The sequence below is a fragment of the Homo sapiens genome, chromosome 6 (genome assembly GCF_000001405.40).
Source record: "Homo sapiens chromosome 6, GRCh38.p14 Primary Assembly".
NCBI classification, from domain to species: Eukaryota; Metazoa; Chordata; class Mammalia; order Primates; family Hominidae; genus Homo; species Homo sapiens.
Window position 1 is genome coordinate 69,053,883 of NC_000006.12, and position 15,891 is coordinate 69,069,773.

General features: G+C 32.2%; 1 protein-coding gene across 1 annotated transcript in view; it reads left to right on the forward strand.

Annotated features, from left to right (window-relative positions):
* The window catches only part of ADGRB3 (adhesion G protein-coupled receptor B3), a 754,225-nt gene that overhangs the window by 418,601 nt on the left and 319,733 nt on the right, over positions 1-15,891 (forward strand). Inside the window, exon 16 of the mRNA NM_001704.3 lies at positions 9,052-9,154. Within this exon, the coding sequence (NP_001695.2) occupies positions 9,052-9,154 (103 nt within the window). The remainder of the gene's footprint in view (positions 1-9,051; positions 9,155-15,891) is intronic.

Genomic DNA, 15,891 nt, shown 5'->3' on the forward strand with positions numbered 1-15,891 from the left:
CCAAGTATACCCTCAAGCCAAGAAATCAATAAATGGTTATAAACAATCATTTGTCTGATTCATTTAATAAGTTCAGCTTCCAATTTTGTGGGAAAGCCATGAAAGTTCTGAGTATGTGAGCAGTATGTCGTTATCCTGTTAAGACATGAAAAATGTAGTCCCTTAAAAAATGCATCTTATGTAATGATTAACATTAAAGACATTATAAAAGAACTAATAAAATTATATGTAAATTCCACTATAGTGGAATAAAGGAAAATACAGATGAATGAAAACTAAAGTGTCTTCATAAACCAAAAGTTATTACAAAATTATTTTTAAAGAAAGGAACAAATTTCAATAATGCAAAAATCAAATGAATTTCTTGTCAAGTACACTAACCTAATTAAGATAAATGAGGCTGAAATTTTTATATATTCAGGAAATTGAACTCATTTGAATTCCTAATGCTATAGAAATTAAAAATGAATAGAAAAATAATATTGGAAATAATAGAAAATTGAAGACATAATCACTTTTACACAAATGCACGCTGAAAGCAATCAACCTGAAGCAGTCAGCTCTCTCCAGAGCTCATGTCCTTAGGTTTAGGACCTAAACTTTGAATCTTCCTTTTTAATTCTCACTTTGCAATGGAATATTCTAGTTTTGTGACGTTCTGTACCTTTTTAGAATGTCTTCTCATGAAAACATTAGAAATTTAAATTATCTATGGAAATAACAAATTGGCGTAGCTTATAGTATAAAATATTGTGGTGTTACTTAGTGCGTTATTTTTTAAAATCTCGGTTTAGTTTGGTCAGATATTTTAAAAGTGAATGTAAATCTCTGATCACTTGGCATTTTTAAAATTCTAGATTCTACATATCTTAGCAACCTACAGTGAAATTCTAACTCCTTTCAAGCTTTAAGTAAACCCAATCCTACTTTGTAGCAGCTGTCAACTGATTTTAGTTTTAAAAACAAAGATATTCAGCTTTAAAATTTTGATAAAGTACCCAAATTCCCATACTATATGAAATCATCTGTTTTATTTTGGTCTTATTTAAATTGGTCTATTCACTTAAAACATTTATGAAAGTTTCATTTTTGAAGCTACATGAACTATAAATCTAAAAATGGAAAAGGACTATAGTAACTTTACTAACTTCCATTAAACCCATAACATCTTTTTGTTGTATCTTATCTGGCAATACTGTATGTGTGCTATTAGTTCTGCCATCTCCTCCATTGGTGATTTTTCTATAACTGCATTACATTTTTTATTGTGTTAAAAAAACATAAAATTTACCATAATAACTATTTTTAGTGTACAGTACAATGTTAACTATATGCACTTGTGTAACATCTCTAGAAACTTTTCATCTTGCAAAATTAAGACTATACACATTAAAGCACAACTCCCCTTTTCCCACTCCCTCTGACCCTTAGCAACTATCATTCTATTTTCTGATTCTGAGTGTGACTGCTTTAAATACCTCATGTAAGTGGAATCATGCAGTATTCATCTTTTTGTGATTGATTTATTTCAATTAGCACAATATCCTTTGGGTTCATTTGTCTTGTAGCATATGATAAGTTTTTTTTCTTTTTATACGGCTGAAGAATATTTCATTGTTTATGTATATACCACATTTTCTTCATCCATTCTTCCATTGATGGACAATCAGCTTGCTTCCACCTCTTGGCAATTGTCAATTACACATGATGAACATGGGTGTTCAAATATTTCTTTGAGATCTTTCTTTCAATTCTTTTGGACATATACTCAGAAGAGAGATCATTGGATTATTTTTTGTTTTTTCAGAAACTGCCTACCGTATTCCAAAGCAGCTGCACCATTTCACATTCCCACCAACATTGCATCAGGGTTCCAATTTTCCCACATCCTTGTCAACATTTGTTATGTTGTTTTTTTGTTTTTGTTTTTTTTTGTTTTGCTTTGTTTTGTTTTGTTTTGTTTTGTGCACACAGTCTCGCTCTGTTGCACAGGCTAGAGTGCAGTGGTACAGATCTCAGCTCACTGCAACCTCTACCTCTCCAGTTCAAGCAATTCTCCTACCTCAGCCTCCCAAGTAGCAGAGATTACAGATGTGTACTATCACGCCTGGCTAATTTTTGTATTTTTAATAGAGATGAGATTTCCCCATGTTGGCCAGGCTGGTCTCAAACTCCTGGCCTCATGAGATCGCCACCCTCGGCCTCTCAAAGTGCTGAGATTACAGACATGAGCCACCCCGCCCAGCCTGTCTTTTGTTTTTTAATAATGGTTATCCTAGTGGGTGTGAGGTGATAACCCATTGTAGTTTTGATTTGCATTTCTCTTATGATTAGTGATGTAGAGCATCTTTTTATATCCTTGTTGTCCATTTGCGTACCTTCTTTGGAAAAAATGTCTATTCAAGTCTTTTGCCCATATTTTAATTTGATAATTTGGTTTGGGTTTTTGTTGTCAAGTTTAGGAGTTATTTATATATTCTGGATGTTAACCTCTTATCAGATACATAGTTTGCAAATATTTTCTCCCTTTTCATAGGTGGCCTTTTCATTCTACTCACTGTTTTCTTTCCTGCACAAAAGTTACTTTGTTTTGTTTTTTAATTTGATGAAGTCCTATTTGCTCATTTTAGCTTTTCTTCCCTGTACTTTTGGTGTCATCTCCAAGTTCAATGATTTGAATGTATTTCTCTATGTTTTCTTTTAAAAGTTTTATAGTTTCTAGTCTTATGTTTACATCTTAATCCATTTTATGTTGTTTTTTATATGGTGTAGGCACATGGATATCCAGTTTTTCCAACACTGTTTGTTGAAGAGATTATCCTTTTCTCATTGTGTAGCCTTAGCACCCTTGTCGAGGATCATTTGACCATATACATGAGGATTTATTTCTGTGTACTCTATTCTGTTCTGTTGGTCTATATGTCTGTCTTGACACCAGTACCATACTTTAAAAATAATCATTACTGTAGCTTTGTAATATAGCTTGAAAATAGAGAATACCTTTCTTTCTTAAGACTGCTCCAGCTGTCAAGAATTCTTTGAGATTTTATGTGAATTTTATATTTTTTTCCATTTCTGCAAAAATACCATTTGGATAGATTGCTTTGGGTAATATGGACATTTTAACCATATTAAGTCATCTAATTCATGGACACAGGATTTCCTTCCATTTATCTGTCTCTTCCTTCATTTTTTTCAGAAATGTTTTATAGTTTTCAATGTATAACTCTTTCCTCCTTAAGTTTACTCATATTTTATTTATTTTGATGCTTTTTAAATGGGATTCTTTTATTAATTTCCTTTTAGATTGTTCATTGATAATGTATGGAAACAATTGATTTTTGTGCGTTAATTTTCTTGCATTCTGCAACTTCACTGAATTTGTTCTTTAATTATAACAAGATTTTTAATGTGTGTCTGTGTGTAATCTTTAGGGTTTACTACATATAAAGTCATGTCATCTATGAACAGAGGTAATTTTACCTCTTCCTTTCCCATTTGGATGCCTTTTATTTCTTTTTCTTACCTAATTGCTGTTTGTAGGACTTCTAGTACTATGTTGAATAAAACTGGCAAGAGAGGGCATTTTTGTCTTATTTCTGATCTTAGGGGAAAAACTTTCAGGGTTTTTTTGTTTTGTTTTGTTTTGTTTGTTTTACCATAAAGTGTGATATTAGATGTGGGTTTTGCATATAAGACCTTTGCTATGTTGAGATAATTTCTTCATATTCCTGGTTCATTAAGCGATTTTATCATGAAAGGGTGTCGAATTTTGTCACATGCTTTTTAAAAATCAATTGAGACAGTCATGCAGTTTTTGATCTTCATTCTGTAAATGTGATGTATTACACTGATTGATTCTCATTTGTGGAAACATCTTTGCATTTCAGAAATAAATCTCTCTTGGTCATGATATATAAACTTTTTAACATGCTGCTGAATTTGGTTTGCTAGCATTTTGTTGAGGATTTTTGCATCAATATTTATTAAGGATATTTGTCTGTAGTTTTCCTTTTTTTTATATATAGTATCTTTGTCTGATTTCAGTATCCAGGTAATACTGGCCTCCTATAATGGGTTTAAAAGTGCTCTCTGCTTTAATTTTTTGGAAGACTTTGAGAATGAGTTGTGTTTATTCTTCTTTAAATGTATCATAGAATTCTCTAGTGAAGACTTCTGGTCCTCTAGACTTTTGTTGAGAGGTTTTTGATTATTGATTCAATCGCTTTACTAGTTATGGGTCTATTCAGAAATAAAATTTCTGCATGCTTCAGTCTTGGTGTGTTATATTTTTTCTTAAAATCTGTCTATTTCTTTTAGGTTATCTTGTATGTTGACATATAATTAATTGTTCATAGCTGTCTCTTATGATACTATTTACTTCAGTGCCATCAGTTGTGATGTCTCCTCCTTTTTTTCTGGTTTTTGTTATTTGAGTCTTCTCTCTTTCTTTTCACTTACTCTTTTTAAAAAGGGTTTGTCAATTTTGTATATTTTTTCTCCAAAAATCAACTCTTAGTTTTGTTGATTTTTACATGGGTTTGCTATTTTCTATTCTGTATATTTCAGCTCTAATCTTTATTATTATCTTTCTTCATTAACTTTGGGTTTAGTTTATGCCTCTTTTTCAAGTTCTCTGAAGTATAAAGTCAGGTTTTGATTTGAGATCTTTCTTCTTTTTTAATGTAGGTGTTTACTGCTATAAACTTCCCTCTTAGTACCTTTTTGCTGCCTCACATATGTTATGTGGTATGTTGTATTTTCATTTTCACTTGTCTCATGATATTTTCCAATATTTCTTGTGATTTCTTCTTTGATCCGCTGGTTGTTCAAAAGTGTGCTGTTTGATTTCTACATATTTCTCAATTTTTCAGTGTTTTTCTTAGTATTGAGTTCTAGTTTTATTCCATTGTAGTCGGAAAAGATACTTGGTAAGATTTCACTCTTCTTCAATTTGTTAAGGTTTGTTTTGTGGCTTAACATGTGGTCTATCCTGGAAAATTTTCTGTCTGCCCTTGAGAAGAATGTGTATTCTGCTGTTGTTGTATGGAGTGTTCTGCATGTGCCTGTTAGGTCCAATTCATCTATAATGTTATTCATGTCATCTGTTTTCTTATTAATTTTCTGTCTAGGTAATCTATCTAGTTAATCTGTCTAGTTATTAAAAATGGGATATTAAAATATCCCATTATATTGTTACTATTTATTTCTTTCCTCAATTATTTCAATGTTTGCTTCACATGTTTGGGTGCTATGACATTAGGTGCACATATATTTATAATTGTTATACCTCCCCAGAGAATCAACCATTTTATCATTACATTGTGTCTTTTTTTGTCTCTTGAAACAGTTTTTGACTTGAAGTCTATTTTGTTTGATATAAGTGTAGCCAACCTCATTCTCTTTTGGTTATCTTTTACATAGGATGTTTTATCCATACTTTTACTTTCAGTCTATGGATGCCCTTATATACAAAGTGAGTCTGTTGTAGACAACTGAATTGTATTTTTAATCACTTTTTATACTCTCTTTAAGATATGGTTCATGTGCCTTTAACTTCTTAAGACTCTGCAAAAAAATGTGAAGATTAAGTTGGGTTACCTTTGAATGATTAATTCTATATATTTTGAAATGTTTTATATATCAACGAGCATAAATCTCAAGGACAGAAAATAATTTTATTATTTGAGTCATGAAATCCATTTGGCTGTCAGATCTGCTTTTCTAGCAGTGAATGCAAATGTGCAGCCAGCCAGGGAGCATTAGCAGATCACAAAGCCTGACATGGCATATCAGAAGCCAGCTATTCACTTGTGCAAATTAGAATAAATTGATGGAATAAATTAAAGACAATTTTGTACACTATACACTTTTTGAAAAGGAAGCCATTGCATAATGTAAATTTGCTTATTTATTTTCCTTTATTAGGCATTTAATACCATGATATTGGCATTACATTTTAAATCAACTTGTTAAAATTTTGACATTTTTGTTTAGTATTTGCTTATTAAACAAAACACTCAAACATGTTTTAAGTATTAAAATGTTCCAAAGAATAATACGAATGAGGACATATAAATGATAGATAAAAATCTTGCTCTCATTGAGCTTATTATCATATGGAAAAAGACATGCGTAGAATTGATGGATGCTTTCGTAGAGGTAGGTGCACGTTACTGTATTGGGGCACAAGGTGTCAGGGATTCACATGAATGGTATTAGCACACTGATATGCATGAATAAATTGACACATATCTCTTCTCAAATATATTCTAAATATATTAAAACATACACACATTTTCTTTCTCTCTCTCTCTTTCTCTGTCTCTCTCTCTCTTTCTCTCTCTCTCTCTCTCTCTCTCTCTCTCCTCCTCTGTCTCTCCTTCTCTCTCAGCAAAAGCCATAGGGTTGATTCTGTCCTCTAGGGAACTTCTCCACCAGGCCAGATGAGCAGCTGATGAACCTAACACAGTGTAATATACCCTGCAGAAGGCAACTTATTGTAGCTACTTTGCTCCTTACAGACCAGCCATTCAGGGCCAAAGTCTCCACATTCCCAAACACACAGGGAGCTTCATAAATATCTTGACAAAATTGCAATCTTCTTTATAGGATACCCACATCTGTGTTTGTTTTCCAGTAATGTATCCATTCATGGAACTTAAACATAATAGAGATACCTTTCTAATATAATAATTTAATAATAATTAAAATTGGTAATCATTGGGTTTTATTAAAAGCCGGTAACTAGGATTATAAAGAGAACCAGAATAAAGAGACAAATGGAATTTGAGTGAAGCATCAATATTTTTGTTTTGCAAAACCAAACCAGAACTTAAACATATTCAGGCTAATCCAAAAAAGGAACTTACATCTGTCTGTTCAGGACTGATTCTTCTCTGGGAGAAATGTTCATAATTTCTCTGGTAATGACAGGTGGATATTTCCCCTAACTCTAAGCTGTATACACCATTCTCTGGGAGGCCTGCCAGCTGTGCTAATATGATCAACCACCCAGGATCACCTCTCAACTTTGTCAATTTCTCTATTCTCACTTGGTTCCCTGATCACTTTTACTCACAGAAAAACATGGAAGAATAATTTGGCAAAAGAAGCTTGACATTTAGAGCTTAGTTTTCTGTCCTTCAAAATGTACTGTACCTTCAATTGACTCATTTATCATTTAATGAAAAAAAAAAAAGACTGTTAACCAGCTCTCTCTGTCTGCAACAATCTTCCTCTTAACAAAAACAAAATAGACTTATGCTTTGTTGTTTTTAACTCTTTACTCTTAGGCTGAATAGCTTCCTGAGTGTTTAAAAAAGTGTCATTTGACATTACTGCATACATGAGAAATGCACTTAAAAATGTTAACCCATGCGAAACAGGTGTATAGTTCCTCTGCTACTAGATATAGTAAATTCCTCCAACCACGGAATAACTCCGCATTTTTTTCTGATGAAATCTTGTGCCAAAAACCACCTCATTAGAGAAAAACAAATCTCAAAAAAAGCTAGGTTCAGCATGGTTCCACCGTATCAGAACTATATGACTTAAATGGTACAATCACTTTAGAAAACAATATGGGAGTAACATAAAATTAAGTATGCCTTTACAGCATAATCAAGGAATTCCACTCTCAGATATTCACCTTAGACATATGAAAATATATATCCATACATAAAATGTGTATGGTAATTATTTATAATAGCCAAATATCATTAGCTATTATTTCTAAAGGCTAAAAATCAGAAATAACCTAAAGGTTTTAACCTAATTGATAAATACATCAATAAATTGTGCTGTATTTGTACCATACAATATTACTCAACTGTAAAAGGAAACAAAATAGATGAATCTCAAAAATGTTATGCTAAATGAATTAAGTTAAAATTAAAACAGCAGCATGTCCGTGGTTGCCTGGGAGCATGGAAGGGTAGGGGATGAAATACAAAGGGACTTGAGAAAACTGTTTAGGGTAAGGGATTGTTTGTCTATGTTAAATGTGGTGGTACTTACATGGTAGTATATTATCCAAAGAATTAAACTATGTACTTAAAATTGTGAGTTTTATCTGTAAATACTACCTCAAAAAACAAAAAAGGAGAAAAAAATTAAATGATTTTGTCATTGATACCTAATGTGAATTCTCCAGAATAGTACATGACCGATGGAAGAGCATGTGGTTTATTATTTCACAATTCCAAACAGGAATATATTCACACATAAACACACACTCAAGTGTGTTATGAGTAAAATTAAATCATCTTTAAATCTCTAAATACTAGATGATCTGCAGCATTTTACATATTTTGTGTGAAAACCTACATATACTAGAAAAAGTTGGTTCAGTTTTATGTTTATATTGGTAGATAATTTCTTGTAAACTATAGATATGATTTTCTTAAAATAACTTAAACTTCTTTGTAAATGAAATATCTTGGTAAGATATTTCAGGCAAAATGTCTTTCTTAGATTGAGAGTATTGAGATCAAGCAGTGGCCTGTCAATCTCTATTGTCGAAATAAATTATGGTCAATAATTAGCAACAGCATTTATTTCTATTTAAACTCTGTTTGCTCTAATGTTACTCCACATTGCAATTATTTATTGTAATGTGTTTTGGGATAATCCATAAAACACCAAGACAGCACATTGCAATAAGAGTATTTGATCTCCGAGAGAACAAAACTCTTAGGTCCTCCTTGATATAAATGAATTATATTCATTTAAATATTGTCTGAAGGTTTGAATTCACAATCCATATCTCTTGTAGGTGAATCAGATTTAAGTAATCAAAAGCTTATCAGTGCTGTTGCTTTCTCATATTTTCTGCATCTAAAATGGTAAAATGGCCTTTTCTCCCTAAGTTTTCTGTTCCACATAAGGTTTCTTTACAGCAGTAAAATGTGTCTTTCCATGAATAATACTACGATTTATGTTTTTGCTTTGGATGCATTTATTTGAAACCATCCCAAAATGTATTGAGCAGTAGGAATTTATACTTTTCAGCACTCATTTCTCCTTTTAATTATAATTACTCTGTTGCAGAAATTATACTGTCATTAATTCCAAAATCATCGTGGTCACAATAAGGCCTGAACCCAAAACAACCGATTCGTTTCTGGAGATAGAACTAGCTCATTTGGCTAATGTAAGTACCATCCACTGGGCACTGACTTGCTTATGGAATTACCTTTCTAACAGTCATTCTTTCAACTGATAACACCAGAATACATTTTCTAGACTTTTATAGTTGCAAATATATTAACTTGTTATGAGTATGTGTATTATAAAGAAACAGAATGATTATTCTATGCTTTTTTCATGATAAAATTCTCTTCAATTTATCCAAATGAGTATATGTATTATAAAGAAACAAAGAATGGTTATTCTATGCTTTTTTCATGATAAAATTCTCTTCAATTTATCCAAATAATAGTTAATAAATCATTTATCAGTGCACACATCTTTACCAAGCTTTGTGCTAGGCACTGGAGAAGATGAGGTGAGTAAAAGCCTGTTAACTGTAGTGGTGCTTACATGGTAGTATACAATTATCCAAAGCATTAAACTATATACTTAAAATTGGTGAGTTTTATCTTTAAATAAAACTTGATCTCACTATGTGGTAGGAAAGAAAAAATTTAAGTTGCATGCCACAGTAAAAGTTATAAACAGTGCAGAGGGGAATGATTAATTCAGAGGAAGGGGGTGCTGGGTGGAGTGGGTAGCGTGTAGAAATACTAAGTCAAGGATCAGGGAAGGCTTATTATAACTACCTAGGTGATCGCATTGTCTAAATCAAAATCTTTCATCTCAGAATGAAAAGAACCCATTCTTAAATCTATCCAACTGCAGCTGAAATGCTTCAGATTTTGTTCAGTCCTCTGTACAAATTTTCAATGTCTACTTATTATTTAAATATTCACTTCAAATACTTAAATCATTGAAGTGGAGGAGCAAGGAAAGTGATCCCTATGAAAGTCTTCCTTATTGTACTTTCATAGTTCCTGTATTAAAATAAGTCAGTTTCATGATTTACTTGTACATATTTTTATCCTTGCAAAGTTTTTATGAAGTTGACCTTTCTTTACATTGAAAAAAAAATAAAGGAAAAAGTGATTAAGTCATTATCCCAAGCCCATATAGTTAGTGAATGACATAGCATAATTTAAACTCACATTCTTTTGGCTGTAAAATTTGTGTATTTTCTACTATTGTGTAGTTTCTGATTTCCTGAAAAAAATCAGCCTTAGTTTTATAGAAAAATGATAATCACCTTTTCTGTGAATCACTTTTTCTAAGATGAGCCAGGCTTCCTGGATTATTTAATAAAAATTTCAAATCTCTCTGCAATAACTTTCAAAGATCATTTGATATTTAAACTATTTAACTTTAAACTATTCTAAATAGTTTAACTATTTAAACTATTTAACTTTAAACTATTCTAAATAGTTTAACTATTTAAACTATTTAAACTATTAGTTAATATTTAAACTATTAGGTGTTTTCCTGCTTTTGTCAAAATGTGACCATACTAGTTCTATCTAACCTTAAGAACGTGTTTTAGTTCTACAATATCTACCTCCTCATACCTTAGTATAGCCCTCATCTCTTCACTGCACTGAGAACTGGGAGACATTTTTAACTTCTGAACATTTGCTTTTGAATAAAGAATTTGTGTATTCAAAATTTTTTACAAAAATATATGTTTTTATTGTTTTTCTACAGTTACAAGTATTGGGAGAATGTAGTAAGAGATTAATTCTCTGTATCAGATTATAGAATTACTGAAGAAGCACCCAGTATCAGAATGTGTACTCTGTTTCTTATGCAGAGAACAGTTGTGCAAATGAATCACGAGACTTTGATAAAGATGAAATCATTATTTAGAACTTAAAGGACATGTTAAAGGAAGCTTTTTTAATAAATTAAAAAAGAGTAGTCTCAAAAATAGTGTTGAAATAGTCTCACTATTTGAGTATAATAAAACTATTTGAAATGAACGTATTTAAGCTTTGAGTCTGTCTTTTATGTTCTGGAAATGTGTTTTGTCAGCTGATTTACAGAAGATATAAACCATGTACTAAAAATATTTTCTACATATGGAAAACAAAGAACATAGTCAACAAATTTTATTAAGCACCAGCTAGTACTGGAATGACAATGAAAGTCAGCATGTAAGAATGATGAGATAATTATCAGAAGTCACTTAGAATTAATTGTGTCTTTCAGTATTTTGAGTAAGTGAATTGACCAGGTTCCCACGAGAATATATCTCCACTCTAGAAAGCCCATGTTTAAAATGTATGTATACATGTAGAAATCTGTTACAAAAAAGTGGATGGGGAGAGGAGAATAGAAAGAGGAACAATTTTATGCTAGAGAAGAAAAAGTCTCTAGGCGCTCTTGTTTGGAATCTGCCCGCCGTGCACATCGTGCCTCTTCTCAGAGGCTCCTCCAGTTACTGACCACACAACTGAGCCTCTCTGGGCTGCTCTGGACTCTTTTATTTAAAATATCCATCTCACTGTTGTCTGTACAATATATACAGCCCTTCTACTTTAGTGTTTTGAATTTCTAAAGCTTATTGTATTTACATTTATTTTATTGCTAAAATTAGATTTTGTGAAATACTTTGGGAAGTATTACTGTTCACTAAGGGAGGGAATATGTGGTTTATTTATTGAATATCATAATATTATTACCAGTCTTATAAAGATATATTCTATGTACTGAGATTAGTTTATTTCCATTGAAGAGAAGACAAAAAAGATCTATTTTGAAATATAATGTTAGCTGAAATGTGAAGAAAAAATATATCTTAAATATGCAGACTGAAATTTATTAGAACAAGCCTGAACTTCATGTATATATATACACACACACACACACACACACACACACACACACATATGTACATATATTCAGTTGGCCCTCAGTATCTGCATCCGTGGATTCAACCAACCACAGATCAAAAATATTTGGAAAAAAATGAAAAATAACAGTATAACAATAAAAATACAAATGTAAAAATATAGTATAAAAACTATTTACATAGTATTTACACTGTATTATGGTATTAGGTCTTGTAAGCAATTTAGAGATGATTTCAAGTATACAACAGAATGTGCATAGGTTATATGCAAATATATATAAGATACTTGAGCATCCATGGATTTTGGTATCTGCAAGGGGTTCTGGAACCAACCCCCTGTGGATGACAAGAGACAACTAATACAAACACACCCATCCCCCCACCTCCAACCTTCACACATATACATCCACATATATATATTAATATATAGTTATATATATGCATGTATACACATATACATGCCCATATTTGTTGCCTTCAAATTTTTTTAGAAATGACACATCTCTAATATCAAATCTGTCTACTTTCACTTATTTTCTTATATCAAAAATATCCGTTATACTTTCAGGAAAGAATAACTTCAAAATTACATTTTATTAAAATGCCATGTGAAAAAAAAAAGGAAGAATGGGAATTAATAGTTACAGTGAGTTATAGTGAGTTAACAGGAAAAGCCTGTTAACATTTTCTTTTAAAAATGTGTCTCAGAAAGCTTTTTAACAAATAGCATTTACAATATGTTAAATATAATAAGGCTCTTGGGAACTGATAGGAATAGGTAATAAAATATGGAACCTAGCAATTCCAAATTCTGTTTAGCAAAGCCAATTGCAGCTTTAACCAGATTAGTCATTAATTAGTAAGACACTATTCTTAGTTCAGTTTTTCAGGCTGATGGCTTCATTGTCATGACCTATAAAGTTAGGGTATATGGTCTTTAGTGCTTAAGCATAACAATTAATTGCTTTAAAGAAATATCAAATTTTTTTCTCCCTCCAAAAATTTGTTTTTTATATCACTTAAGAGTGACATTTATACTCATCAAATTTTTAGATCCTATAATGCATAAGGAAAGTTAATCATCTTATTGAAAATAATTCTTGAGGGCCAATGAGTGCAATGAGTAGATCCCTATGTAGACAAACACATATGCTATTAGGATCCCTTGTGTCTGACAGGTCTGGGCCTACTGTGACTTTCCAAGGTGAATAACATCTTTATCTTTAAAGATGAGTCAGAAGAAAAAGAAGGTAAAATGCATTTTAGTTATCTCATGCTCTATCAACTTTGCAAGCCTGAAAATGCATACTTTTTCCAAATGAAGTCTTCATGTAGTTCCATTTCAAATGGAAAGATAGAGTGGACCATACCAGCCTGCAGTCTCATCTTGGCTTTTAAATTTTTTTTCCTCTGGGCATCAACTCCAAATGGTATAGGTAGGGTACTGCTGCTTTCAGGGTTGAGATAAATGCGTTATGTTTGTAGTTCTCAAATTGATCTAATGAAAATTTGGGCTTGTAGGTTTTGTTTTCTTTGCCATATTTGCGTGCATTCTAATAGCATGAAGCTAACAAATTAAGAAATTTGTTTTATGTGTATAAACCAATTTTAAATGAAAATTAACCATGACCCTATGACCTTTGTAAATCATAGTGGAAAACACAGTGACAACTGTAACGAATATGCTTGTTATCATTAGATAAGCATGAGAAACAATGAAAAGAAATTCCAACATTCATCAGTGGGTATTTTCATGAATATAAAGGTTAATAACCTAAGGATTTAAAAATCACTTGGCAAAACTTTGAAAAGTTCAGTGTGTGCATCCGTAATTTTCACAAAGGGCTGTTTGATATGCCTTTACTTTTTGAATTACTTTTCTGCCCTAGCTTTATCCATTTGGAAGTGGTTTCTGATATTTTGTCTGTTTACAGTTCTTGGTAACTTTTATGGAGAGTCTTGAAATGCTACTAGACAAGGAGATTAAAGGCTCTTCCAACAACTGAAATTGAGATAGAAATTGCTCTCTGGCTACATTTTTGGTTATAGCCTAAATTTCTTCAGTAGACATCCTTCTCATGTTTCAAATTTAGTTTATTGTTAATTATAATACATAATTGATATTCTTTAAAAACACTTTAGTATGATTGTGCTATTGTTGGAGCAGGGGGTCAGCAAACTTTTTTAGATAAGAGTCAGATCGTAAAGAATTTCAGACATGAGAGCCATAATGGCTTCTGTCACATCCACTGAAATATGGTGTTATAATCTGAAAGCAGCCATTGACAATATGAACCGATAGGTGTGGCTGTATTTCAATAAAAAGTAACTTACAACAGATGGCAGGTCAGATTTGGCTCATGGGCTATTGTCAACCCCTGTGTGATACGCAGAATAGTGACTCCTCCAAAGACGTCCACATCCTAATCCCCAGAATCTATGACTGTGCTGTGTTACAAGCCAAAAGGGATGTTTGTGTGAGTACATGTCAAAACGCATATGTGTGTTACATGTCTCTGCTATAACCCCATATAATTAGTATTAGGACATATCATTATATTGCTTTTGGACGTAAAAGAAAAAGACATAGGCTATATATTGTACCTATATAAAATCTAGTTATTTAATTAATCTATTTCTTTATTAAAGTTATTTGCTACTTTAATTAATATTAAATACTTGCACAGTTTTAACTCTAGAAGACCCATTTGCTTGCTGAGAGGTACACCAGACTTTGTGCAGCCATTATTGGAAATGATGTGATCACATGCAGGTAGGACACTCTGAGACATATATGTGGAGGCAATGATTTTCTTTGAAGCATATACATGTAAAAACGTCCTGATGATGGTTCTGCTTTTTACTGCTTCCCATATGACAAGTGGAAAGTATTCCTCTGGAAATAATGCAGGTTAGTGATATATCTCAGAAATTAGAGAAGCAAGCTGTCATCACATCTATAAAAATAGTGTCATGTGGTTAATGTGGGCTACTAACTGTATAGCAGAAGTGATATTAAATATGTGCCCTCTCCTTGTATTCCAATCAAATAGCTGCCAACTTTCTGTGAATAGCTATGTAACATAGATGGGACTCATTCTAATTAAAACAGTATTCTACATTTCTCACTTCAGTGGCCTTCATGTAATTCTGCTTTAGCTAAAGCCAATTTTTTTTTCATTCCATCTTAGTTTGTCTAGTTTTCAATGTGATGAGAATCCTCATAAAATCCATCCAAATTATCTACATCTCCAGCTTCCTAACAAATAAGAGTACAGTATTGTATTCTCAATGTGTCTTTTAAGGCTTTAGGTACACAGCAGCTGTCCCTTAAAAACTGAACATAAGACCCAGACTTAGCTCCTTCTAAGTATCATTTAAAATACTAAAATATGGAACAGTACTTATCATAACTTTGAGAACATATTGGAGAAGAACATCCAGGAGATTACTTCCTGTTGAGTTTTATATTGTATTTTTTCACTGCCTCATCCCCTTGCATGGTGTTTTACTCTTTAAGGGACTGTAGAACTGTTCATATGTTAAAAGACATGACACTGAAATGGGTCCCTCTCACTGATCAACTATTAGCGGACTGTGATGGATTTGACTGTGGAAAAATTTACGTCTACTAATGTCTTGCTTCCCTTAGCAATTCCTGAGATGTTTTTAATGTGTCCTTCTGAAGTATCATTAAAATTATGGGGAGGCTGAGGCGGGTGGATCATGAGGTCAGGAGTTCAAGACCAGCCTGGCCAAGAGGGTGAAACCCCGTCTCTACTAAAAATACAAAAAAAAAAAAAAAAAAAAAAAAAAAATTATCCGGACGCAGTGGCAGATTACTGTAATCCCAGCTATTCAGAAGGCTGAGGCAGGAGAATCGCTTGAACTCAGAGGACAGAGGTTGCAGTGAGCCAAGATTGTGCCACTGCACTCCAGGCTGGGTGACAGAGTGAGACTCTCTCATTAAAAAAAAAAAAAAAAAAAGAAAGAAAGAAAAGAAAAAAATT